This window comes from Homo sapiens, chromosome 6 (assembly GCF_000001405.40).
Source record: "Homo sapiens chromosome 6, GRCh38.p14 Primary Assembly".
Classification (NCBI taxonomy): Eukaryota; Metazoa; Chordata; class Mammalia; order Primates; family Hominidae; genus Homo; species Homo sapiens.
The window spans coordinates 169,074,947-169,101,625 of NC_000006.12; the positions used below are offsets into that span (position 1 = coordinate 169,074,947).

The following is a 26,679-nucleotide window of genomic DNA, read 5'->3' on the forward strand; positions in this document are numbered from 1 at the left end:
TTCCGGCTAACGCTATTCAGAAGTGTTAATGAAATAGTCACTAAAGCTTCTCATGTGCTTCCCATGTGTTTACTTGTGTGTAAGGACCATACAGTTTGATAAGACAGTATTTGTGCACAAAGAAACAATCTAAGAACATACATTTAGCTGCTAAGATGTATGACATAAACTTTGTCTACTTTGACAGCCAGAAAAAAAATGGAAACTCAGTGAGGGCTGAGGCATTCTTGCACAGCGGGAATGAGCGTTGTTTTGGAGGAGCCATGGACACACTGCTTAGTTTTCGTTTTCAGCATGTGGCCAACAGCTCAGGCAAGGAGAAGAGAAGTTGCAGGCTCCCTTCTTGGCTGTGGCAGCTAACGCGGGAGGAGTTGCATTGGGTCGTGGACACGTGGCCTGCTTCTCTTCCACTGAAAAACTGCACAGATGCAGAGAAATTCTGCAAAGCTCATTCGGAAAACATTTCACAACAACGGAATGACACGACCAAGCTGCACACGATCTTTAGTTCTTAATACAAAGATCGGAAAGAAAATAAATCAGAAAGGATATTACATCACATTACATTTTCTGGTGAAGCAGTTTAGCCATGTCTCTTACTGAGGTCTGAACCACCACAGGACATGAACGCAGGGGAGCGACTGAGGAGCGTGGAGGTCAGTTCCTCTGGGGTGTGGAGGACGTGACGGCGTTTACTTGAGGTAAACCTCGCAAGGGGGAGAAGTTTGCTCAAAAAGTCTTTAAATAACAAATGAGGGAGATTCTATTTTATTCCATAAGCAATGGATAGGCAGCCAAGTTTTCTTGAGAAAAAATAGACACAATTTGAGCAATTCTAGCATATGGTTAGAAATTTATGTCTGGCACAAAATTACGTTTGCAAGTTTATAGCCCCTAGCATTAGTTTTTAAGCAACATTACAGCAACTAGCCTGGTAAAAACGAGAACACAGGTAATAAGCCCAAGGTCAGCTCAGGGTGAAGTGGGTCCATCTGCAAGAGACCTTTACCCTTCAATGGAGCAGAAAGTGGGAGGGAGCCGGGGCCTTGGGTGAATTCCCTGAACAGCTGCAATCACCCTGGACTGTTTGCTTCTGAACTTTCTATTCCCCGAAAACACATCTTTTTTGGTGAGGCTGCTGTAATTTGGTTTGGTTAGATGCTGCTGAAGTCATCATTATTGACACAATGTATGCAGTCAATACTTGTGAGAAGTCTGGCTGCAGAAGTAGGAGACAGAGCAACAACTGGAATGTGTCCAGAACCTCCCGGGAAGCACAGGTTATGTGGTCATATTCACTCACAGGCCTGAATCTGCACCAGAAGAAATGATAGGCACCTACTAAGGCCCAAGTCTCAGGGGAGGCCCAGCTGGGCCCGCTTGGACGGATGGAGTCCCGTGAGTCCCAACGTCTTTACAGAACTACACACCAAGCATCCCTGCCCATCAGGACCAGTGTCCTTTCATCATCCACGAGCTCCACAGGAAGCCTTCAGTTCACTGATGTCTATGAAGAACTGTGCTTTCCAGCAGGCTCTGAGGATTCCCAGCTGGGGCTCAGGACTATTGCAGCTCTCAGTTTGTGGTCCATGTGCACTTGGTCTGCATGCTTTCTGGGGAAGCCTGAGCCTCGGCACTCTGAGGAGCTGGTGAGGAATAGTGAGTTCTAGTATGCTTGTCTGAGAAGGACTGTGTCCTACTTGGAGTAGAGCTAGAAATGGATTCCCTATTTATAGTGCCTCAGCCCCTTCCTGCAGGACACCATCAATATGTCCCACGCAGGAGTAGCATTTGGAGAACGAAACACAGGTGACAGGAAAGGATGCACGAGCTGCAGCAGGAATGCAAAGACAGCACGGGGCTCTGGGAGACCCATCGAGGGGGCAGCACTCAGATTCTTTATTAAACGTTGAGTAGAAATTTCCCAAGAGAGGATGAGGAGGAGATTTCAGTGTGTCTGGCGTGCTTAGAATACAGTGAAGGTCAGGTTCATTGAACTGACCAGTTGCACCTGGGAGAGCGGGGATTGCTCAGGGAAGAAAGGGATTGAAGCAATTGAGTCGTGACCCACATACCACACCAGGCCGCTCCAGCTTGTTGCTGGACACGAAGACCCATCATAGAAGGAGTTTAAAAACAGTGCCAGACTTGAGGTGTATTTTAGGACGTTGGAGCAAAGACGGGCAGGGACAGTTGGGCCCATCATTGCTGACGGGACTGACTTCACCTCGATAATACGCACATTCACACTGTCATTCCCTGCACGGGCAGATTATGTTCTACGCTGCATCTGGCTCACAAATGCTGGCAAGGAAGAAGATGGTTTTTATACTTATTAATTTTAAAGCTGACCTGGATGTATGACCTTCAACTGTGTTTTTTTCTAACTTAAAAGGATACACATGTTACATTCATGTCATTTTAGAAATCATTCTTTCATTTACAACTACACCTATATTCAAATTAACAGCTGATTCCAATTTTAAAAATGTTCTCTTGAGGAACCTCTTCACCTTCCTTCCACCCCCCAAAAATCTATGAGTAAATTTGAACATCTTGATACATACAAAATTATACATTGTCTGGATTTTGGGAGAATATTTTAGGATATTGATTTTGTTGCGTTATTCGAGTTTAGACAATAGTTAACATAAGTATTCATATGTAGAGGTCTTTGTGCTTCATTAGAAATATATCCAACTAAACATAACAACAAAAAGCCTTGCGAAACTACATATCTCTTATACTTTTGTGCTGTTTTTCTGTGTGTAACTAAACGTGGGATACAGCAAAAATATTTTCACATTGTTTAAAATTAAGAGTATGTACAATTCCATTTCTTCCATTTAAAGACCCACTAAGTCACTCAGTGTATTTGGAACCCACACCATACGAGGGAAAGCACATCACTTTTAGTGGTTTCTAAAGGCGAATAGAAAAGTGATTCATACAACCAAAGCAAGAAGATTTTGAATGTAGAAGCAAAGAGAAGCAGAAGCAGAAGCAGATGTCTAAGCCAGGGGACACCCACCGCGCTGTGGCCCCAGGGCCCTGCTAGAAGGTGTTTCTCACCCAGAATGGCTCACGGCTGCCTTGGCATCTCCAGTGCTGAGGCTTTTCGTAGGTGACTGCCTCAGAAACAGAAAATGAATGTCTAGTCGTGCCTATTTTTCATAAAAAAAGACCAGCAAAATTACGTTAAATTAACATTTATGAAAATAGCAGCACTGAAGACTCTTCAGTCTCTAATCAGTTAATTGTGGAGTCATGGAGTTGAGCCTTAGCAGCATCTAATTAAATCAAGAGTTGCCAAAATCCTTCAAGTGTCCAGTCCTGTGGGCATGTCCTGAGTTTCTCCAGGAGGACCAGGAGGACCATCCCATCACGACCTAACACTGACTAAGGGAAATTACAAAGTAAATTCATTTTGTCCTGAGCCCATGGTGGGCTCAGGGAGGTGCTTCCTGTCCTCCCAACCCTGGAGAGAGCTGTTACACTGTTCATGATGGGCTCTGAGATGTGAACACTCAACAAGCCCAGCTTCTGGGGCCTGCCACCATCCCACGGGGCCACTTGGTCTGTGGCCTGCTATGGGTCACAAATCACCAATATTCCAGTACCCTCCGCCACACACCCTTTGCAGGCGGGCATGCACCCTCCCACTGTGGGACAACACAACTAGGAGGGAGATACAGGTTGGCTTTCTGGTGAGTTCTACTCCATCCCCTCTACCACACCACACATGCACACTTCCTTCACCTGTGAGTGGGGAGGGGACACTGCATTCTCCCCTAACCTAGAAGCTGGAGGAGTGGGCTTTGTGTGTGGGGAGGGTGCCCCAGGATGGCTAGTGAAGGATGGTGAAGGTTTAGGTCTCAATCTCTGGTTGGGTGCCAACATCATCAGCATTCTGCTGAATGGACCATTCTAGCAGAGAAAGAGCCCTGCTGTGGCATTGCCAGGCAGAGAGGAAGATGGACCTGTCACTCAAATCTGGCTCTGGGCAGGTGCACAAGGCAAATTCCACACACACCACTGGCATCAGCATGGGAGCTGGGAGCGGTAAGTGAGGCTGTGATTGCAATGCTGTTGTGAATCACTAGAACGGGGAATGGACAACTACAATGCGAGGCAGTATCAACGAAGATTCATTGAGCATATGTATTACAAACCCTTGGAAAATAATTTTATATGTTTATAAATAATACGTTAATGAAGGAGATTAAACAGAATCATTTTTTTTAAAATCTCGCTTTACCCAAAGGACGGCAGAAAACAAAAGAAAATCAAATACGGATAAATAGAACAAATAGAAAACAGTAAACAAAATGTTGGATTTTCATTCAATTCCATCAACTATAACCTCGAAGGTGAATACTCTAAACATGTCTGTTAAAAGACAAAGACTTCCAGATTGGATCAAACAGCAAAAGACTCAACTGCAGTCTTTCTGTAAGAAATTCACTTTAAGTATAAAGGCATAAATAAGTTAAAGTGAAAAGCTGCAGAAAGATACACCACACAAACACTAACTAAAAGAGAGTTGGAGCAGCTATATTAATATCAAGGTAGACTTCAGAAAAAGGAACCTACCTGGGACAAAGAGGAATGTTGCATAATAATGAAGCAACCAATTTTTCAAGAAGATAAAACTACCCTAAATATGCAGGCACCTAGCGATACCCCTTTAAAATATGTGAGACTTAAAAACTAATAGAACTTCACAGGTCGGTTTTGCAATTGCAGTTACACAAGCCAGTACTTGTCTCTGAGTTATTGATGGAACAGAAAGACAAAACATCAGCATGGATAGAGACGATATAAATGACCCTATTATACAATCTGACCAACTAACATTCATAGGACACTTTAGAAAAGACTGACCAGAGCTGCTTCAAAATTTCAAGTTCATGGGAGACAAAGAAGGCTGAGGCATCATCACAGCTGGAGACTGATGACGCATAGCTTCCCTCAATATGAGATTCTGTATTGGATCCTGGGGCAGAAAAGGGGCAGTTGTGGAAAACTGAGAAATTAAGAGTTGAGCTTGTGCTTTAGTTAATAGTATGGTACCAATGTTAATTTTTTAGTTTGATGTTTGTACCATGATTATTTGTGATTTTAGCATTAGGGGAAGCAGGATAAACAGTACACAGGAACTCTCTGGGCTACCTTCACAACACTTCTAACACTTCTATGAGTCTAAACTTACTTCAGAATAAGAAGTCTCTAGATAAAGACAATGTATATGCATATACTCATATATGTATGCAATCATATAAATATGTACATATATACATACCTACGTATGAATATATTTGTGAAATGTAAAAGGTAGTGATATACTACAATGTTTTAAAATGGACTGAATAACGGGGATATGACTGTTTTTCCAGTCGAAAGTATTTCCCAATTACCGACTGGTGACTAAAATGTTCTTATTTTAGTTATCAGAAGATAGAGACTCAACAGAGCCTTGTTACTAGCTCTATTAATAAGAACAAAGCCAAATTAAGGCATTCCCATCTTATAGAACATCAGAATGAATATAAATTCCTTCTCTGAAGCCATAGAATCATGTGATATATTGCAACCTCTCTAGAAGCCAAATAAACACACAATAAAATAATAATAAGACTCTATAGACGACCATTGGATGATACACATCAAATCACCCAAATCCAACACTAAATGGGGCTGGAAGTGAACATTAACAGATCCTTCTTGAAAGGCTATTTACATACCATGAACCTTTATGTAGTCATGTAATTTGGCCTAATATTCCTACTTTTAAAAATCTATAATAAGGAAATAATTTAAAAATTCATCAAAAATTTATGTAAATGGTGTTTATTACAATGCTATGTGTAACACTAAAGATATTTTAATTGCCCTATGTCAACGGTTGAATTGTGTTCCCCAGAAATTCATATGTTAAAGTGCTAATCCCCACTGCCTTAGGACGTATATTACAGTTAGGGTTTTTATAGAGGTAATCAAATCAACACAAAGTCATTAGAGGGGCTCTAATCTAGCATGACTAATGTCCTTATGAAAAAGGGAAATTTGGACACAGAGATGGTTGGGGAGAATGCCACATGCAATTGAAGGAGAGATGGGGGTGATGTTTCTAACAGCCATGGACACCAAAGATTACCGGCAAACCCTGAGACTCAAGCAGGGGCCTGGGGCAGATCCCCTCGTGGTCCTCAGAAAGAGCCCTGCTGACACCTTGATCTTGAACTGCAAGCTCTAGACCTGTGAGACAATACATTTTAATTTTAAGCCACAAAGTTTGTGGTACTTTGTTTTGGTAGCCTTAGCAAACTGAAACAACATAATCATCAAAAAAAGAATGATTGACACATTCTAACACACGCAGACACTAACACACACGCAATATAACAACATAATTATCAAAAGAATGATTGACACATTCCAACCCACACAGAAACTCTCCACACACATGCAATAAAACAACATAATCATCAAAAGAATGATTGACACATTCCAACACACACAGAAACTCACACACATGCAATATAACAACATAATCATCAAAAAAAGAATGATTGACACATTCTAACACACACAGACACTAACACACATGCAATATAACATAATTATCAAAAGAATGATTGACACATTCCAACCCACACAGAAACTCACACGCACATGTAATAAAACAACATAATCATCAAAAGAACGATTGACACATTCCAACACACATAGAAACTGACACACGCGTTCAATAAAACAATATAATTATTAAAAGAATGACTGACACATTCCAACACACACAGAAACTGACACACACGTGCAATAACGTCTTGCTACAGTTAAAAATCACAAATTCGAAGAATATTTAATGCCATCATAAAATTCTCACCTTGTAGTGATGAGTAAAATCAGGAGGAAGTTGATCAAACATTCATGTTTTTGTAGTGGCATTAATGCCTTTTAAAGTTAATTTAAAAACTAAGTCATGTATCTGGAAAATGTGGGTAATGCAAGTCAACAAACTCTTTAAATACTGAAGGAAAAAAATACCTTAAATTATATTGGGAAATTGGTATAATTTGAGTGTCATTTTTCATAATCCTTACATATATTAAAAATTCCCACCTAGCCAAGATCCACCAACCAAACCAACCAACCAAAAATAAGACACAAAATCCCTGAAGCCAGACTTTATTTTCTTCACTCAGTTTAAAGGTTTCTCCATCTCATCCCTTCTGGGAGCCCAGAGACAGAGCACAACTTGGCGCCCACTCATCCATTCGTTTAGTCACTCATTCGTTTATTTTAAAAGTCAAAGTATTTCTCATGAAATAATCTGAATTTTGAGTCTCTCTTGGAAAACAAGAAGCAGCAGCCCTGAACCGGGCTCCCTACAGGGCACTGACCGCTGTGTCATCAAGATCCCAACAGCCTTGCTGGGCAGCTGCAGCTCTTACTGCAAACCTGGCAGTGGAAGGTACTTGAGTTTCTTCCTCCTGACCAGTGGGTCCAATCCTGCCCCTGAGTGTTTGTGAAGATTCTTTAATCTATGTGAACACGAAGCAAATCTGTGCAGTGAATACATAAAAGTACAATCATCATCACGTGGAATCCGGAAGCTTGTGTAACATCGGGAGAACACAGCCCTCACATTTATGAAAGCCTGGAACCATGGAACCAATGATTATCTGCTAACTTTATCAATGCAGAAGCAAAACAAAATCTGTAACCCTGTCCCCCACTCCACACCTACATTTCAAGACAGGGGAGACTGTGCCTGGTGACAGCAGGTGCCCTTGCCTCTGCCTTCACAGCCTCTGCTCCTGTCTCCCTCACGCTCAGTTTCTGGGGGCCTCTGCTCAGCACCTCTGAGGACACAGGGCTCAGACCTTGGCTGTTCTGTGCTGGAGTCCACAATGCACCCCAGGTCAATGCTGCTCATCACCACCCAGCTGCCTGATGCGGTCCTGGTGTCCACCCAAGCTGAAGGAAGCTGGTAACTCCTATCCTACCTGTGCCTGGAAGGCCAAGACCCAGGAACACTTGGAGAAACATCAGCCATGACCATGGCCCAGCATCTCTGAGGGAGGCAGCAGCTAAGGACAGTATGTGCCAGTCCCTCAATCTGATGCCAACAGAGTCTGTGAGCCGGACACAGGGGCCAGAGCCTCTCTGCAGCCCCACACAGTGGTGGAACAGAGAGACAGGAAGACCCAAGAGGTACAGTAGGCAGTGTTCCGTGGGAACCCTCATAGCCTGAGGCACACGATTCTTGATAAGGCCCTGGCCCTCCTCCCTAGGAAGCCCTTTCCTGCCAGGGTGGGCTCTTGCTGTCCCTGGGCTGCCCGGCAGGGCCTTCTTCCCCATCCTCCATGGTCACCTCTGAAGTGTGACCTGGGATGAGCCTCCCCTGGGCCCACACAGCCCACGGTGAGCTCCTTCCCTAGAAAAGTCTGGCAGTGCAAGGACACGTTCAGATAAAATAAGTCAGAGATTAAAATCCAGGCACATGTTTTTATCTTGCTGTGTTGTTTTGGGGTGTGTATTTCTCTTAAAAACTTCGTAAATCTCTCATTTATTTGATTCTAGACAGATCCATGTACCAACTGCCACATCCACACTCCTTTTGCAGACACACCTCTTAGATTTGGTATATTTCTGTGTGTTCTTCTCCAGCAACTCTTTCTCTGTGTTAGGCCTCAGGCTTCAGTGGGAGAGCCACACCCCCGTCTCCCTTTTCAAAGACCATTTTTGTGCAACATACAGGCCTCACTGGAACTGAAACCTGGGCTGTGCCTTAGCTCTGAAGCTTCATAATTCATTCAGAAGTTTTCACACCAGGAGTGGCGACTGGGTCTGGATTTGTTCTTTGCATCAGGGTTGGTTTTAATTAGGCTCTCTCTCTCCAAGGCCCTCTTGTTTGTTGTCTTTTTCCTGCTTTTTTTCTTTATTTAACTGTTATAATTTGAGCATGAGAAGCAGTTGACTCTTCCAACCCTGCAAGTCCCAGGGTCTGCACACTCCTGAGATCTCTGGATTTCCCCGCGCAAACTGATCACTTGTCTCATTTTACCTTTTTGTTTGTTTTGTTGGACCGTGTCAAATACAGCTAATAGGTAACCAAAGCATGCTACAGACAGCCTGTCTCCTGCAGCCTCTCCTAGAGTGACTATTACAAGGTACATCATCTTCCTTTCATTTCGTCACTGGTGCTGGTGTTGCCAAATGCCTCACCACCATGTAACGGGGCTGCTACCTCCGCATTTCCAATACCAGCTTTTGTGGGAAAGAGTTTCTGGGATGCCAGATGAGTTGGTCGCCCCTGTGTGAGACACCCATGGGGAGCCATGGGCGGCCTCTGAGGAGAAAAGTCTCCTTGTTGCCTTCATGTCTTTATGCCCGAGGGCGGAACAGCTCAGCAGCATGCCACAGGTTGCTCGGGGACATAACCCTCCCTTGAAGCTGTGGAGTATAATCAAACATCTTGGCTTCTCCTGAAACCCGCTCCCCGCCATTTCAGTCCCGATAGGTTAAAGATCTTAAGTAGTTTAGACACACGCCTTTGCTCAAGGAAATTCACAGAAACCGCCACTGCTGTACATCTTATTGAAGGACTCACGAGTTCTTCTTCACCGATTAATCCTTTTCCTCATCCCTTCCTACCCCTCCCATCTGCCCTAAGAACAAAGAGCTTGTAAACCAATAAATTGGGTGGAGGCCGAGAGCTCGGGGCCGTCAGCAAGCCTCCAGCTCCGGTCCCCTGGACCCGCCTTTTAGACTCTTATTCTGTCTCTTTCTAACTCCTTTGTCTCCGCTGGACTCGGGGTACCCGCCGGGTGATGTGGGGCTGGTTTCCCCAACAGCTTTCTCACTGCTCACTGCCTGTATCCTAATCTAGTGCCTGATACTTTCAGGCAGCAGCCCACATCTAGGAACCGATTTTTGTATTGGCAGCATGGACTAAGGTTACTATGTGTTAAGTAACAATTCCCACAAAACATACTACGTTCAAACTATGAAAGGTTATTTTTCACTCAGTCTACACAGTGTATTTCAGGTCAGCAGGGGGCTGTGCTCATCAGGGAAGCAAAAATACCTGGTCAACAGGGAAGCCATCGTTTTGAATTTTGCTACCCACCATGTTGGCAGAAAGAGAGTTCTTGACAATTTCACTCCTGCGATTAAATGCTCCGACTAGAAATGATACACATCGCTGGCCAGACCTAGGCACATGGCTCCACCCAACCACAGGTGGTCAGCTGATGCAATGTTCCTGGGAGACAGACATTTAAAGATATTTAGAGAAGAGCCTTGATATATACTCTCCTTCCCAAACACCAACACCCCTGACTCCAAAATGACAGCACTGTTAGCTTTTTCACTGAATTCATACCCTGAACTGGGTTTCACAAATGATGACTTTTATAACCAGTAGAAATAGTTAAATAAAAAATTCACTTAAGCTCCCAGCAAACAAAACGTGCAAATGTATTTTACACTCAGCAATATACTAATGAATCTCCCTGTCTGCACTTGACTTAGGATAGCACAGGGCACACGATTCAGGAAACGTTTTTCAGCTAACAATCAATATTGGAATCCAGCACCATTTCATACGCACAGGAAGACATTACTCTACAAACAGGAAATGAACACAAAGACTTGAGCTCCGGAGTGCCAGACTCCATCTTGCCAATTATGTATTTCCCCAAATTCTCAAGTCCTTTAGTACAAGAAGTCCACTTAATTTCTTTCTCTAAATATGCTTTACAGTGGCCTGCAGTAATGTGTGAGCCATATGCCTCTCCTAAGCACCTTCTCTTGTGAGACTGCCTCTCCTCAAAGCTGTGCCGGGAGCCAGGGACCGTAGTGAGAGCCACACAACATTTGCTCATGAGCAGGTTTTTTGACCATTTTCATAGATATCTCTGAATGTTTCAATTTGAATGATGTCCCTAATCATTTTTAAACGTTGTTAACATTTGCAAATCTACAGCTATAGCTACGGAATGACTATGTTCTAGTATTTGTCAGTTCTATAAGAAAGGCTGAAAATTATGAGCTCTATAACGATAACTACATCAGACAATTTACAAATGTGTTTAAATACACACTTCGTACTGAAATCATGGTGTGTATGAAAACGACTACTTTATTAGAAGGTACTATCAACATAATTTCGGAGTTTTCCAGATAGCTCAGGGTACACTAGTGTCAGAGCTGTTTGAACCAGAGCAACTCCATCTTGAATACGCCTGAGTGAAACAAGGCTGAGACCTGCTGGGCTGCATTCCCAGACGGTTAAGGCGTTCTGAGTCACAGGATAAGATACGAAGTTGGTACAAGACACAGGTCATAAAGACCTTGCTGGTAAAACAGGTTGCAGTAAAGAAGCTGGCTAAAACCCACCAAAACCAAGATGGTGACGTGAGTGACTCTGGTCGTCCTCACGGCTACACTCCCACCAGCACCATGACAGTTTACAAGTACCATGGCAACACCAGGAAGTTACCCTATATGTCTGAAAAGAGGAGGCATGAATAATTCACCCCTTGTTTAGCATATAATCAAGAAATAACCATAAAAATGGGTAACCAGCCGCCCTCAGGGCTGCTCTGTGTATGGAGTAGCTACTCTTTTATTCCTTTCCTTTCCTCATAAACTTGCTTTCACTTTGCTGTATGGACTCACCTCAAATTCTTTCTTGCACGAGATCCAAGAACCCTCTCTTGGAGTATGGATTGGGACCCCTTTCCAGTAACACTAGTACCTGCTTACCATAATGAAACACTACCAGTTGAGATGAGAAATGCATTTTTTTTTTTCGAGACAAAGTCTTACTCTGTCACCTGGGCCAGAGTGCAGTGGTGCCATCTCAGGTCACTGCAACGTCCGCCTCCTGGATTCAAGCAATTCTCCTGACTCAGCCTCCGAGTAGCTGGGACTATAGGTGCATGCTGCCATGCCTGGCTAATTTTTTTTTTTTTTTTTTTTTTGTATTTTAGTAGATACAGGGTTTCACTGTGTTGCCCAGGCTGGTCTCGAACTCCTGAACTCAGGCAATCCTCCTGCCTCGGCCTCCCAAAGTGCTAGGATTATAGGTGTGAGCCACCGTGCCCGGCCGCATATCTTAAAACCTAAAGAATTAGAAACAGAGAACCCATTTTAAAATGAGTCACTAAAGTCTGCTTATGTGTCAACAATATGTAAGTTACTTTTTTTTTTTTTTGAGACAGAGTCTTGCTCTGTCACTCAGGCTGGAGTGCAGTGGCGCGATCTCGGCTCACTGCAACCTCCGCCTCCCAGGTTCAAGCAATGCTCCTGCCCCAGCCTCCCAAGTAGCTGGAATTATAGGTGCCTGCCATCATGCCCGGCTAGCTTTTTGTATTTTTAGTAGAGGTGGGGTTTCACTGTGTCGGCCAGGCTGGTCTCGAACTCCTGACCTCAAGTGATCCATCTGCCTCGGCCTCCCAAAGTGCTGAGATTACAGGCGTGAGCCACCACACCTGGCCTGTAAGTTACTTTTAAACACACTGAAACAAAGTGTGTAGCTCCAAGAAACTACAAAGAGGGAAAACAGTTTCCATTCAGTGCCTTGCAGGATTTGTAAGAGGCTTTCCATGTTGGCTTGTGAGCAGCAGGAGTGAAAGAAGCTGGGATGGAGGAATGCACACTGGGCAGGGAGAGATGGAAAGGAAAAATACCAGCTGTCTCTGATTGCTGACAGCAAAGAAAAGACAGGGAACAACTGCAAAACCAATGCTTGTTGGTAGGTTTTCAAATCACTCCCAAACTCCCCTCTTTCACTCCTCTACCCGCTCCCACCCCCCGCAATACCTCAGAAAAAGTAACCTTTCCTTAAGTACAAAAACAAACAAAGGAAAGAAAGCTTATGGGAGTTGGGAAAACATAAAGAATGTAAATGAGCCTCCACATCTTTCCCAATGAATGTGGAGCAGGAATTCCCACTGGAATGTTGGCATTCCATATTTTTCCAACCCAGTATTTTTGGTGGAATTGCTGTTCAGACATAAACATTTACTCTCCTTCTCCGATTCCACAAGTCAGGGGCTCATTTCTATATAAAAGAGTGACAACAGAGAGGACATTCATTTAAATCTACTGTAAATTCCAGGCCCTCAAATAATTTGTTAAAAATCCGTTTAAAAAGATAAATAGTAATTTTGCTCCTGAAAGTGTTATGGGAAATTTTTATATTTTGTCTTTAATGAATCAACAGAAAGAAATGAGTTTTTTTTTTTTCAAGAATAGCTGTTCTTTGACATTTAATTTTCTCAGCATTGCAGCCTTCTGAAAATTGTGTATAGCAAATAAGATACGAAATGTGCATACCCTCAGCATTAAAATTATTTCCTAGAGTAATTTTAAGTCTTGCAACAAAAATAAATTCTTGACATTGCTCATTTAAGGAGTGGAACTGTTAGGAGTTATAACACTATACACAAATCTAATCTGCCTATCATAAAACTAATTATCATTTAAATAAAACAATAAATTTGAAGATGAGTCAATGGCAGGAGACCAGGCATGTCCTCAGACTTAGCCTTGACCAAGGTAAAACAAATCTCTTTTGCCCTGAATCCAAGTGATGAGATGTAGGCTGTGCAGTGTCAAGACACAAACATGCAAAACGGGTCTAGAATAGGATAACCCTTAGAATTAGGTTATGTCAGATAATGAGCAAATGATGATAATTTGGCAGAGTATCAGGCAAAGATACATACACAGGAATAATTTATAACAGTTTTAAGAATGTTTATACCACTACACTTTTTTCCAAATAATCCACTATCAATTGCAAAGATATTTAAGATAAGCAAGAATCAGGTCCCTGAATAATTCTTAAAAAATAATCTAGTCCAGTTGACCAAGCACACACTTCATCCTTTTGGTCAGTTGCTGTTGAGATTTTGCGGTATCCATGGTGGGGTAGGAGCTCCTGGCCTCCTCCCCTGTGACCTGTGACCTGTGAGGGTGATAGGCCAGCAGTCAACCTCACTGAGCTGAACGTTGCTTTTCTTAAGCTTCCAAATGCCAGGACAGGCCAGCCCCTCTGAAACAACCCAGAATGAAACACCCTCTCTCCCATGTTCCATGCTTTTCATATCTGGGTGTCCATCACACTGACCCCTTCAATCCTTCCTCTTGGAAGCTTCACATCCCTATTTCCACCAAATCTGCTTAGAGGACTAATTCAAGAGTCTTCATCATATATGGATGAGCTTTCTTAAAACGTGCTTCAGTTTGTCAATACATTTTATAAGTCATCGATTACTTAATACAATAATGAAGACATGAAAAATAGTGGAGCACAGCAACTTACCTTTAGGTCTCTAGTGTCTAACTCAGTGCTCAGCTCACAGAATGTGGTCAGATAAGGCACAGAATGAAGCCAGTTTGTCTCCTCAGAGTAGCATTTAATTTAGGGGTGGCCACAGAACTCCTTTGAATTACACTGAGCTGGCAAACAACTCAAGGCCTTATTCTTTTCCCATTTTGCCTATTATATGGGAAAGCTCTCCTTGACCCCGTGTGTATATTTGCTTTTACAGGGTAGAAGTGCAGTTATTTGTAGTTTATTTTCCGTATATTTCCACATTTTTCATTTTCAACAAGAAGCATTTAAGATATGTATAATGAAATATTAAACACTATATTTTCATTATCATTAATTGATATGGTTTGGTTCTGTGTCCCTACCCAACTCCCACCTTGAATTGTAATAATCCTAACTTGTCAAGGGCAGGACCAGGTGGAGATAACTGAAGCATGGGGGCAGTTTCCCCCATGCTGGTCTCTTGATAATGAGTGAGTCTCATGAGATCTGATGGTTTTATAAGCATCTGGCATTTCTCCTGCTTATGCTCATTCTCTCTCCTGCTGCCCTGTGGAGAGGTGACTTCTGCCATGATTGTAAGTTTCCTGAGGCCTCCTCAGCCATGCAGAACTATGAGTCAATTAAACCTCTTTTCTTCATAAATTACCCAGTATAGGGTATTTCTTCATAGCAGGGTGAGAATGGACTAATGCAGTAAATTGGTAGTGCAGAGAGTGGGGTGCTGCTATAAAGATATCCAAAAATGTGGAAGCAACTTTGGAACTGGGTAACAGGCAGAGGTTGGAACAGTGTGGAGGGCTCAGAAGAAGACAGAAAGATGTGGGGAAATTTGAAATTTCATAGAGACTTGTTAAATGGCTTTGACCAAAATGCTGATAGTGATATGGACAATGAAATGCAGGCTGAGGTGGTCTCAGATGGAGATGAGGAACTTGTTGGGAACTGGAATAAAGGTGACTGCTACTATGCTTTAGCAAAGAGATTGGTGGCATTTTGACTTTGCCCTAGAGATCTGTGGAACTTTGAACTTGAGAGAGATAATTTAGGGTATCTGGTGGAAGAAGTTTCTAAGCAGCAAAGTGTTCAAGAGGTCATTTGGGTGCTCTTAAAAGCATTCAGTTTTATGCATTCACAAAGATATGGTTTGGATTGGGATTTATGTTTAAAAGGGAAGCAGAGCATAAACGTTCAGAAAATGTGTAGCCTAACAATGTTATAGAAAAATAAAACCCATTTTCTGAGGAGAAATCCAAGCCAGCTGCAGAAATTTACATAAGTAATGAGAAGCCAAATGTTAATCACCAAGACAATGGGGAAAATGTCTCCAGGGCATGTCAGAGACTTTCACAGCAGCTCTTCCCATCACAGGCCCAGAGGCCTAGGAGGAAAAAATGGTGTCATATGCCAGGCCCAGGGCCTTGCTGCTTTGTGCAGTCTCAGGACTTGGTGCACTGCATTCCAGCCATGGCTCAAAGGGGCTGAGGTACACCTCAAGCCATTGCTTCAGAGGGTACAAGCTCCAAGCCTTGGCAGCCTCCACGTGGTGTTGAGTCTGTGGGTACACACAAGTCAAGAATTAAGGTTTGGGGACCTCCACCTAGATTTCAGAGGAAGTATGGAAATGCCTGGATGTCCAGGCATAAGTTTGGTGCAGGGTTGGAGCCCTAATGAAAAACCTCTGCCAGGGCAAAGTGGAAAGGAAGTGTGGGGTTGGAGCCCCACACAGAGTCCCCACTGGGGCACTGCTTAGTAGAGCTGTGAGAAGAGGGCCACCATCCTCCAGACCCACGAATGGTAGATCCACAAACAGCTTGTACCATGTGCCTGGAAAACCACAGGCACTCAATGCCAACCCGTTAAGGAGTGGCCCAAGGCCATGGGAGCCCACCTCTTGCATCAGCATGCCCCAGATGTAAGACATGGAGTCAAAGGAGATCATTTTGTAGCTTTAAGATTTAATGACTCCCCCACTGGATTTCAGACTTGCATGGGGCCTGTAGCCCCTTGGTTTGGGCCAATTCCTTCCATTTGGAATGAGTGTATTTACCCAATGCCTGTACCCCCATTCTATCTAGAAAATAACTACCTTGCTTTTGATTTTACTGGCTCAAAAGTGGAAGGAACTTGCCTTGTCTCAGATGAGACTTTGGACTGTGGACTTTTGAGTTAATGTTGAAATGAGTTAAGACTTTGGAGGACTGTTGGGAAGGCATGACTGGTTTTGAAATGTGAAAAGACATGTGATTTGGGAGGAGCCATCGGTGGAAGAATATGGTTTGGCTGTGTCCCCACCCAAAACTCACCTTGAATTATAATACTTGTTAATAATAATATTGTCAATAATATACTTGTCAATGATAACTCACTTGTCAAGGGTGGGACCAGATGGAGGTAATTGAATCATAGGGGCAGTTTCCCCCATGCTGATCTCTTGATAATGAGTGAGTCTCACCAGATATGATGGTTTTATAAGCATCTGGCATTTCCCCTGCCTGCACTCATTCTCTCTCCTAAAGCCCTGTGAAAAGGTCCCTTCTGCCATGATTGTAAGTTTCTTGAGACCTCTCCAGCCATGCAGAACTGAGTCAATTAAACCTCTTTTCACTATAAATTACCCAGTCTCAGGTATTTCTTCATAGCAGCATGAAACTGGACTAATCCATTCATACAAGAGATGTAGCATAAATTTGTCTTCTCTGTTCACTCTCCTCCCACATCACCCACAACTCCATGCCACCCTATACCCCCCAGAGCTGGAAACAGGACATCCCTGTGGCATGAATTCAAAATTGAAGAAGGTTTTGGTTTAGAGAAATAAATGGAAATAAACAAATCAATGAGGTTATAATCATGGTATACAGGAGAGATATTTATGAGTCGTAAGACTGACACAGGTTTTAAAATAAACTCGGGAACTCAGTGAGGATGCAGGGAAGGTGAGAGGGGAAAGATTAGCAGGAGGAGGAGGAGCTGGAAAGATGAGCAGTCAGAGGGAAAGGCCTTCATGTGCTACCCTGAGCATTCCATGCTGTATGTTAAGAGATACAGGGAGCACTGGAAGTTTTCAAGCTGTGGGGTCAAGATCAGATGTGAGCTGCTGACAGACATCCTTGGTAGGGAGGGGAGGTCGGATCTTCTGGTTCACTCTGGTAGGAACTGGACTTTGTTTTAGTAGGCACTTGTGGCTATGCTATCAATGCAAATATTGGCTTGTTTGTGTGTAGAGTTTGGAAGTCTTCCAACTGTGTGTCTCATATGGTTTCATCCCGGTTCCACACACCACAGTTCACTAGTTTTAGAGATGGGACTCCTCCCACACTCAGCTCAGGGTACTCATCTCATCTTAGGCTGGATTGGCGCTGATTGATTTCACTCCCAGTATCCACTTCCCTTTTCACACAGCTCACAAGGCCTGAGGCTCCCACTCTCAGTTATTAATTGATATTTCTAAGCTTCAGTTTCACCTTCATAAAACAGAGGAGATCCTAATGATGCCTACGTGAGATGTGATGGTAAATAAATAAAACAGACTAGAAAACTTGCCTTAAATAAGGACACACTCTTCCTTGGGGCCTGTCTCCTCTACTGCTATTTTTCTGAAAGAACTCAGGGTAAAATTTGCTTCTACAATTTACGGAAGCACACGCAGGAATTCCTAGAGAATATAAGCATAATTCATTATAGAAAAAGCTTGGACTCATCAAATTAACAATAGATTTGAAGCCTCAGGATGATATTTCTGATAAAATTCCAAGAGAGTTGAAAGTTTAAATATTTCCAACATATTAAAAAAAAATCCTGCTCCCTTTTATATTTTCCAAAGTCTTTTTCTTTCAACTCTTCCAAAATACTAGCTGAAGGGCAAAATCAAACAAAGAAAATGTGTTTCTATTCAAGAAATGTTAAAATAAATATGTAATGATTTCTTGGTCAAAGTTTTCCTTTCCCAAGATAAAAATAATTTGAAGTCACATATGATAACTATTACCATGCCCTTCCAGATTGTGAAGCACAAGATTCCTGCAACAGTTTACAAGCTGACAAGTGAGGTCGTGGAGTGCTCAGAGTCCAGAAGACCGGGAAGGCAACCAGGAGTTGCTGTGGAAGACCTGAGCTTCACTGTGGATGGGGAAGCTTGCACTCGCCTCAGAACTGCCCACCTGCCATATTTCTCAGTGTAAAGTGTCAATGGCACTGCCCACCTGCCGTATTTCTCAGTGTGAAACGTCAGTGGCTCACCTCCACCGAGCTTTCCTTTCAGCCGAGCTTCTTCCCGCTTCACCTCTGAGCCCCCGTGATGGGGCTTCCGCTGTGACTGCAGATTCCAGTGATGACTGTGGTTCCATGTTCTAATAGGCCTGGGTTTTACTGTGCTGTTTATGCACTCGTTCTCCATCTGCCCTTCACAACAACACATAGACTCCATATTTCTCCCCAGGTGAATACCCTTTGCTGTTGAAGATACCTGGACATCATAATTTGTGTTCACGCATGAAGTCTGTGTTGTTACATGCCTACTGTGCTGCAGGAATTTTGTGTATAACATGGACAAGGTCGATGAAGTCATTGCTTTCTAACAGAGGAGACCATGCAAGAAACACAAAAGTGCGTTGTGGAGAAGCACAGAACACACCCCCTAAGCACCCGCCCAGTTGAGGGGGTGGGAAGTGCTCCCCAGGGAGGGGCTGCTGGCTCCAGTCCCGCAGGGTAAAGTACCGGGAAGGGCGAAAGAGGCAGCGTTTATTCAGGTCTGGAGGTGGAAGAGGATTCTTGTCGGAAGGACACAGTGTAAACCAGTGTATATTTGATTGAGGTCTCTAGGTAGTTCCTGAGATCATACAGATAAAACATGAGTGGTTCTAAGAATGATCTATAAAAGTTATCTATATGCATAAAGTGAATGATAAAATCTTGCCCTCTTATGAGCAGCATAATGAGTTTACCCCCCAAAAAAACTATGAAGTACACGTTTCACAGTTCTTAATTCCCCACACTGCCCAAGGTCTCTCTCCCCTCTCCCCGGTCAGCAGGCTGTCCGTCCTGCTCTGCAGGCGTGAGGGTGCGTGCCCCTGCAGGCCTCTTCCCGGCCTCCATCTGGGCTATGGTGGCTCCTCCAGTCCCTGCCTGCCTTGCAATGCCCAGGCTCCTCATCTTTCCCACGCCTCCATCCCTCTGGGTCTGCCTTGGAAGCACTTACTGGCTCTACCTGGCAGTAGCAGCCACTCCACTAGAGTTGCTGGTGACCTTTTCTGGGCCTATTCCAGTACTGTTTTTTACTTTCTTCATGGAACTTTTCACCATCTGAGATTATTCACAATAATTCCCAGAGAACACAGCACATGTCTGTCTTGCTCAGCCCTGGATCCCCACCCACTCCGGCTCTTGAGACTTGGTAAGAGAATCCGCACCTGAAGAGACTGGGAATGAATGGAAATTTTCCTCCCAAGAGAAGGGCTTTGCATCCTCCAGGGCCAACTGGATAGCCGTGGAAATTGGCTGTGCAGTGGGCTTCTTCTCGCAGCTCTGCAGTCTTCTGGGGCTGTCAGCCACGATCACCTGCGTATGCCTGATGATTGCCACTCACAGGGAGAGTTAAAGCAAACCACGTTAGGTGGCCAAATATGTGCTGTAAAATGGTGCAAATGATAGCTTTTTGGCCTTGGAATATGTACAGTGGAAACATAAAACAAAACTAAAACCTCTGCTCAACACATTTTTAAAATTTTGTTTGGAAAAAAAAATGCTTTTTCCTGTAATCTTTCTTAACCATCAGTAGAGCTGTCATCCTCAGACAACACGCTTCACAAACAGCAGCCAAGATGTGGGTTGTGAACGACCATCAAGGTGCAGGAGAGGAAGAAGAAAATCATCATTCAGAAGACTTGGTGGTTGTCTGGATGCAGCGTTCCCAGCTCCCATCCACCAGAAGTTGCTCCTGGTCAAGTTGAGTCAGCGGAAGACAAAACAGCCTCCTTCTGAGGAGCGGCGTGGTTAAGGACAGACAGCAGGCTCTGCAGGCGTGGGAGGTGGCCAGATACAGATGCAGTGCCGAGCCAGACAGAGAGCTCAGCGAGGAAGCCAGGAGAAATCAAAAGACCAAGGAGAGAAGGGCACAGGCCTTGCCGTCACTGACGGCATCTTCACGTGGACAAGAGTGGAGCTCTGCTGAGGGTGGCCCTTCACTCTGCCAGGCATGAAGACCCTCAGCGCCCCCTTTAACATCCGTGTCCACTTCCACACACATAGTCACCACTCTGCATTAGTTTGTTCTTGCATTGCTGTAAAGACATGCCTGAGACTGGGTAATTTATAAAGAAAAATGTTTAATCAGTTCACGGTTCTGCAGGCTGTACAGGAAGCATGGCGGCTTCTGCTTCTGGGGAGGCCTCAGGAAATGTCCAGTCATGGTGGAAGGCGAAGCCAGAGTGAGCATCTTGCATGGCAGGAGCAGGAGCAGAAGCAAGCGAGCAAGCAAGCAAGAGAGAGAGAGAGGAGGAACTGCACACTCTTAACCACCAGATCTCAAGAGAACTCACTGTTGTGGGACGAGCACCAAGAGGATGGCACAAAACCATTCATGAGACACCACCCCCACGATCCAACCAGCTTCCACCAGGCCCCACCTCCTGCACTGGGGATTACAGCTCAACAGGAGATTTGGGTGGGGACACAGAGCCGAACTATATAACACCCGGATAACACTCACCCTGTCATGTTTGTAACAGATGTATTGAGGTACAATTTTATAGATTTTAAGCATACAATTGGATGTTTTAACAATCGCCGGCATCAAGGTAATGAACGGACTGCCTCCCCTCAACACTCATTTCTGCCCCTTGGCCCTCCACCATCCCTCCTCCCTCCTCACCCCCCAGGGGAGCATGAATTTGTTTCTGTCCCTGTGGAGTAGTTCACATTTTGTGTAAACAGAATCTCACAGAAGGTACTCTTTTTAGTCTGGCTTCCTTTACTCTGAATAACTATGTTACGGTTCATCTGTGTTGTACCATGTATCAAGAGGCCATTTCTTTTAACTACTGATCAACGTTCCGCCACAGGGTCATATAGCACGTGTCCATCCATCTGATGATGGAGATGAGGGTTGCTTCTGGTTTTTGACAGTCAGATGCAAATGCTCCAAAGAGTTGTGTGCAAGTCTCTGCACAGCTGCCTGCCGGCACTCCTCCTGGGTGAGGATCCAGGGTGGGCTGGATGGACGCAGGACAGGTTGCATGATTTAGTATTTAAGAAACTTCCAAACTTGTTTCCAAAGTGAAGCTATTTTACGTTTCCACTGCAGAGTATGTAATCCAGTTCTTCCACGCCCTTTCCCAGCTGTGGAGGGGCCAGGCTGTTGGTTTTAGCCATTCCACAGGGGAGTGGTGGAGCCCCACAGTGGTGTTCAGTTGCATTGTCTTGGTAACTGATGATACTGGATGTCACGCAGGTGCTTATTTGACATTGATATACCTTATTTAGTGAAGTGTCTACTAAAATATTTTGCCCACTTTTTTATTGTTTTTTTCTGATTAGTGAGTTTTTAGTGTTCTATATATTCCAGATACAAACCTTGTCAAGTACATGGCTTTTAAATATTTTATCTTAACATTCATTCTCTTGATAATTTATTTCAAAAACAGACGTTTTAATTTTGATAAAGTTGATTTTTTTGTGACATCTAAAATAATTTTAATCCAAAATAATAAAGTTTTTCTCCCATGTTTTCTCAAGGATATTTATTGTTGTAGTTTTAACATTTAGTTCTGACCCAAAATAACTATATTTCCCCCAATTAATAATTGTTTGAAGCATTTTTAGCTATAATGTTTGCTATTTTAAAAATTACAAGCATAAAAAATTAAAATAATTTGAGATTTGAAATTAGCTTTATGGAAATATAAAATACTGCTGTGCTCACAATAAGCCTATCTCTTATAACCTTTCTGTTTCTGGGATTTTAATTGTAGGGTAATCCACTTACATTCCCAGAACTCAATCCTGACATTCTTCTTCCTTCCTGGGGAAGCCTCTTATTTTCACCCATTCTTCCCCTTGTCTGCGTCAGTATTATTAGTGCACATTTGTTCAATCTGTCTTCTCTGCCTCCAGGGCCCTGTGTTATTCTCTCTTACAGCATTCACAATCCGGAACAATGTGAGGGTACTGACTCAACTAATAGAGCACGAATAACAACCACTCAGCATGTGAGCTGACCGTAGCTGACCCCTGTGGTCACGCTGCTGACTACCAGCTCGATTCCGGGGCTTCTTATGAATCTGTATATTAAGAATCTGTATACTGAGATAAAGGGATTACGGTGCTGGATTGCTCTTGGGGATTTCTGCTGAAGAGTCACAGTCCAGAGAGAGAGGGTCCGTGTGATCCCTCTCTGCTCACCATTTAGCTTCTAGAAGCTTCCTACCTCCAAAAAATGATCTGAGGGAGGGGCCTCCAGGGACAGAAGTGAGAGTAGTGGCCCAGATTTCCTAACTCACCAAGAGTGGAAGCACACAGAAGCACCATGGGAAAGAGGAAAGACTCAGTGAGGACGGCCAAAAATGTTCAGAGTGATGGGGAAAATCGACACCCTGTCCTCCTAACACAGAGCATCCTGAGTCCCCGCTGACTCACAGGCATGAACTAGAACCAAGCAGGGAAGTGGAGGCAGGAGGCTTTCCAGGAGGGGAAACAGGTGTGAGCGAGGCACAAGAGGGGTGCTGGGTGTGGCCTCCCTGGACATGTGCTCACCTCTGATCACTGGGCTCTGGACCTGTTTTGGCAACTAAAATGGTATCCACCTCAGCCTGCACCATTCCATAGCCAGCCTTCCAGAGTTTGCATGCTCTTCCAAAGGAATGAATTTTCTACAAAAAAAATAACCAGCTCCCATGGAGAGGTGTTGGTTAAAAGTGTTGTTGGGGGAAGACCAAAAAAATTCACACAGGGAAATAGCTGGAAGGTTTTTATGGAAAGCTAAGTTGGACTCAGATAGTGGAACATTGGTCACCTGTGATGTTTAAGAATTAAGCTGAGCTGTCCGAGTAGACATTTCAGAAATGCAGCTGGAGCTACCCAGTAAAAATCTTAAAGAAGCTTTGGATTCCTACACTGTCTCTACAAATCTATAGCAAATTCTTTAGGTGCTTTCCATGCATGTGTTGTAAGCTTTAAGGAATTTTATGGACTTCAAACATCTTTTATTCATTTTTTAATATCTTGGTGTTAAATACTAATTATATTTTCTCTGGCAAGATCTTACACCGTGTAGAGCAATATTAATTCACACAGAGAAGCCTTGTGATGGTTAATATTAAGTGACAACTTGATTGGATTGAAGGACGCAAAGTATTGTTCCTGGGTGTGTCTGTGAGGGTGTTGCCAAAGGACATTAACATTTGAGTCAGTGGACTGGGAGAGGCAGACCCACCCTCACTCTGGGTGGGCACCATCCCCTCAGCTGCCAGTGCTGCTGAACAATGCAGGCAAAAGAAGGTGGAGGAGCAGACTTGCTGAGTGTTCCAACCCTCATCTTTCTCCTGTGCTGGATGCTTCCTGCCCTCCAATACTGGACTCCAGGTCCTTCAGGTTTTCGACTCAGACTTACACGAGTGGTTTGCCAGGGGCTCTCAGGCCTTTGGCCATAGACTGAAGGCTGCACTGTTGGCTTCCCTACTTTTGAGGTTTTGGGAATCAGACTGGCTTCCTCTCTCCTCAGCTTGCAGATGACCTATTGTGGGACTTCACCTTGTGATTGTGTGAGTCAATACTTCTTCCTAAGCCCCCCTTTATGTAAACATCTATCCTATTAGTTCTGTCTTTCTAGAGAACCCTGATAATACAGATTTTTGTACCAGGAGTGGTTCTAGAGGAACTGAATTTTAAGAATGAATTTATTTAGTTGGTTTGGGGGTTTCTGAAGTTGGCTGCTTAATCTGATTAGACCCAAAAATGCTAAGGACTTTACTTCTAATAAAATGGAGAACACTGATAGTCCTTGGCATGAACTGTTTAGAAAGTTATACAAAATAAATGCGTCTGATACTCCTGATTCACTGCTCTTGAGAGGCAAGGAGTTTGGTGACTCTATACATAATACCTTCAAACATATGTGGAGAACCAAGGAAGATAATGAAGTTGGTTAATTGCTTCTAAGTTCACTGGTCAAAGTGATGGAAAAAAAAAAAAAAAAAAACAGATGATATCAGGGATTCTAACTCCAGGCTCCAAAAGCACATACCGAGCCTCAGATCTTCTAAGATTGTCCTGAGTGGAGAGTCTTATCTCCTGTAGACAAGGGGCAGAAATTGTGGAAACTCAGACACAAGCTCTTACCATACCAATGGCTGACCTGCAATGAAAGGTAAACGCTCAGCCTCGCCGGGTGTCTGTTGTTAAAGTGAGGGCAGTGATTGGAAAAGAATGGGACCCTGCAACTTGAAACTGGGATGTGTGGGAGGACCCTGATGAGCTGGAGACACTGAGCTTCTAAATTCTGATGACCCTTTTTTTGACAGAGGAAACAGCCTCTCCACCCCCAGTGGTGGCAACATCCCCTCCCCCACACATGCTGCCATCAGCCTTTCCACCTTTGTTTGGGGAGATTAACCCTGTGTTGCCTGAGGCAACAGTGAGGGCCTCCCTTGAGGCAGTTGCCAGGCAAGACAACGCTTATTCTTCTCAGGACCAACACCCAACACCCCTGTTTGCTTCTATAACTATAGACTAAAGTCAACCTATGACTCAGCTAAAGTCCTGTGAGGCTCTAGAGGTGAGATTCAGAGTGTCACCCACAAGGAGGTGCAGTACACTCTGAAAGAACTGCTTGAGTTTTCTGATTTATATAAGCAGGAATCTGGAAAACAGACATGGGAATGGATATTAAGGGTGTGGAATGATGGGAGAAGGAACATAAAGTTGGATCAAACTGAATTTATTGATATGAGCCCACTAAGCAGGGATTCTGCATTTAATGTTGCAGTTCAGGGAATTAAAAAAAGGTTCTAATAGTTTATTTGCTTGGTTAGCTGAAATATGGATCAAAAAATGGCCCACTGTGAGCAAGATGGAAATGCCTGATCTCCCTTGGTTTAATGTAGAGAAAGAGATTCAAAGGCTTAGCGAGATTGGGATGGTGGAGTGGATTAGTCACTTTAGACCTACCTTATCTCAACTGGGAGCATCCAGAAGACATACCCTTCACCAATACGTTGCAAAACAGATTTGTGAGGATCACCTGCATCCTTGAAGATCTGTGATTGCTCTTCTGTCTATGCTGGATCTTACAGTGGGAACCACAGTCACTCAATTAGAAAACTTAAACACAGTGTGAATAATTGGATCCCAAGATGGCAGGGGCCAAGTGGTGGCACTCAACCATCAAAGGCAAGGTGGGTGTAGCTACTATAATGGACAGCAGAGACAAAGCAGCAATCAGAATAGTCTAATTCATGTAGAACTCTGGCATTGACTAATTAATCACAGTATTCTTAGAAGTAAAATTGATAGGAAGCCTTAATTCCTACTTAATTTGTATAAGCAGAAAACTTCCAGGTTGAGTAAACAAAAGACTAATTTGAATTATAAAAATAGAGAATCATGGCCCCTCAATCTATTTCCAGACTTGAACCAGTTTTCAGACCCAGAACCTTTTGAATGAAGGAGAGGCCAGGTCCCCTTGAGGAAGGACCCTGCTACACTACTGACAATTTATACTGTTAATTTTTCTCCCATCGTACCTTGGTCTTTTATCAGGGTAACTATGCACTGGGGAAAGAGAAATGATCAGACCTCTCAGGGACTACTGGACCCTGGCTCTGAGCTGATGTTGATTCCAGGGGATCCAAAATGTCATTGTGGTTTGCCAGTTAAAAGTACAGGCTTATGGAGGTCAGGTAATTAATGGAGTTTTAGCTCAGCTCTGACTTACAGTGGGTCCAGTGAGTTCCCAGACTCATCCTGTGGTCATTTCCCGAGTGCCAGAATGCATAATTGGCATAGATATACTTAGCAGCTGACAGAATCCCCACATTGGCTCCCTGACTGGTAGAGTGAGGGCTATTATGGTGAGAAAGGCCAAACGAAGCCATTAGAGTCATTAGAGCTGCCTCTACCTAGAAAAATAGTAAATCAAAAACAATATCATATCCCTGGAGGGATTGCAAAGATTAGCGCCACCATCAAGGACTTGAAAGACACAGAGGTGGTGATTCCCACCATGTCCCCGTTGAACTCTCCCATTTGGCCTGTGCAGAAGACAGACAGATCTTGGAGAATGATAGTGGATGATCGCAAGCTTATCCAAGTGGTGACTCCAAGTGCAG

At 43.7% G+C, this 26,679-nt stretch overlaps 1 long non-coding RNA gene across 1 annotated transcript; it reads left to right on the forward strand.

Moving 5' to 3' along the window:
* Positions 1-473: 473 nt before the first annotated feature.
* On the forward strand, positions 474-22,078 carry LOC124901469 (uncharacterized). Its single transcript, XR_007059888.1, has 2 exons — positions 474-701; positions 18,361-22,078. It is a non-coding gene; the product is annotated as an uncharacterized LOC124901469 (long non-coding RNA).
* The last annotated feature ends 4,601 nt before the right edge of the window (positions 22,079-26,679 follow it).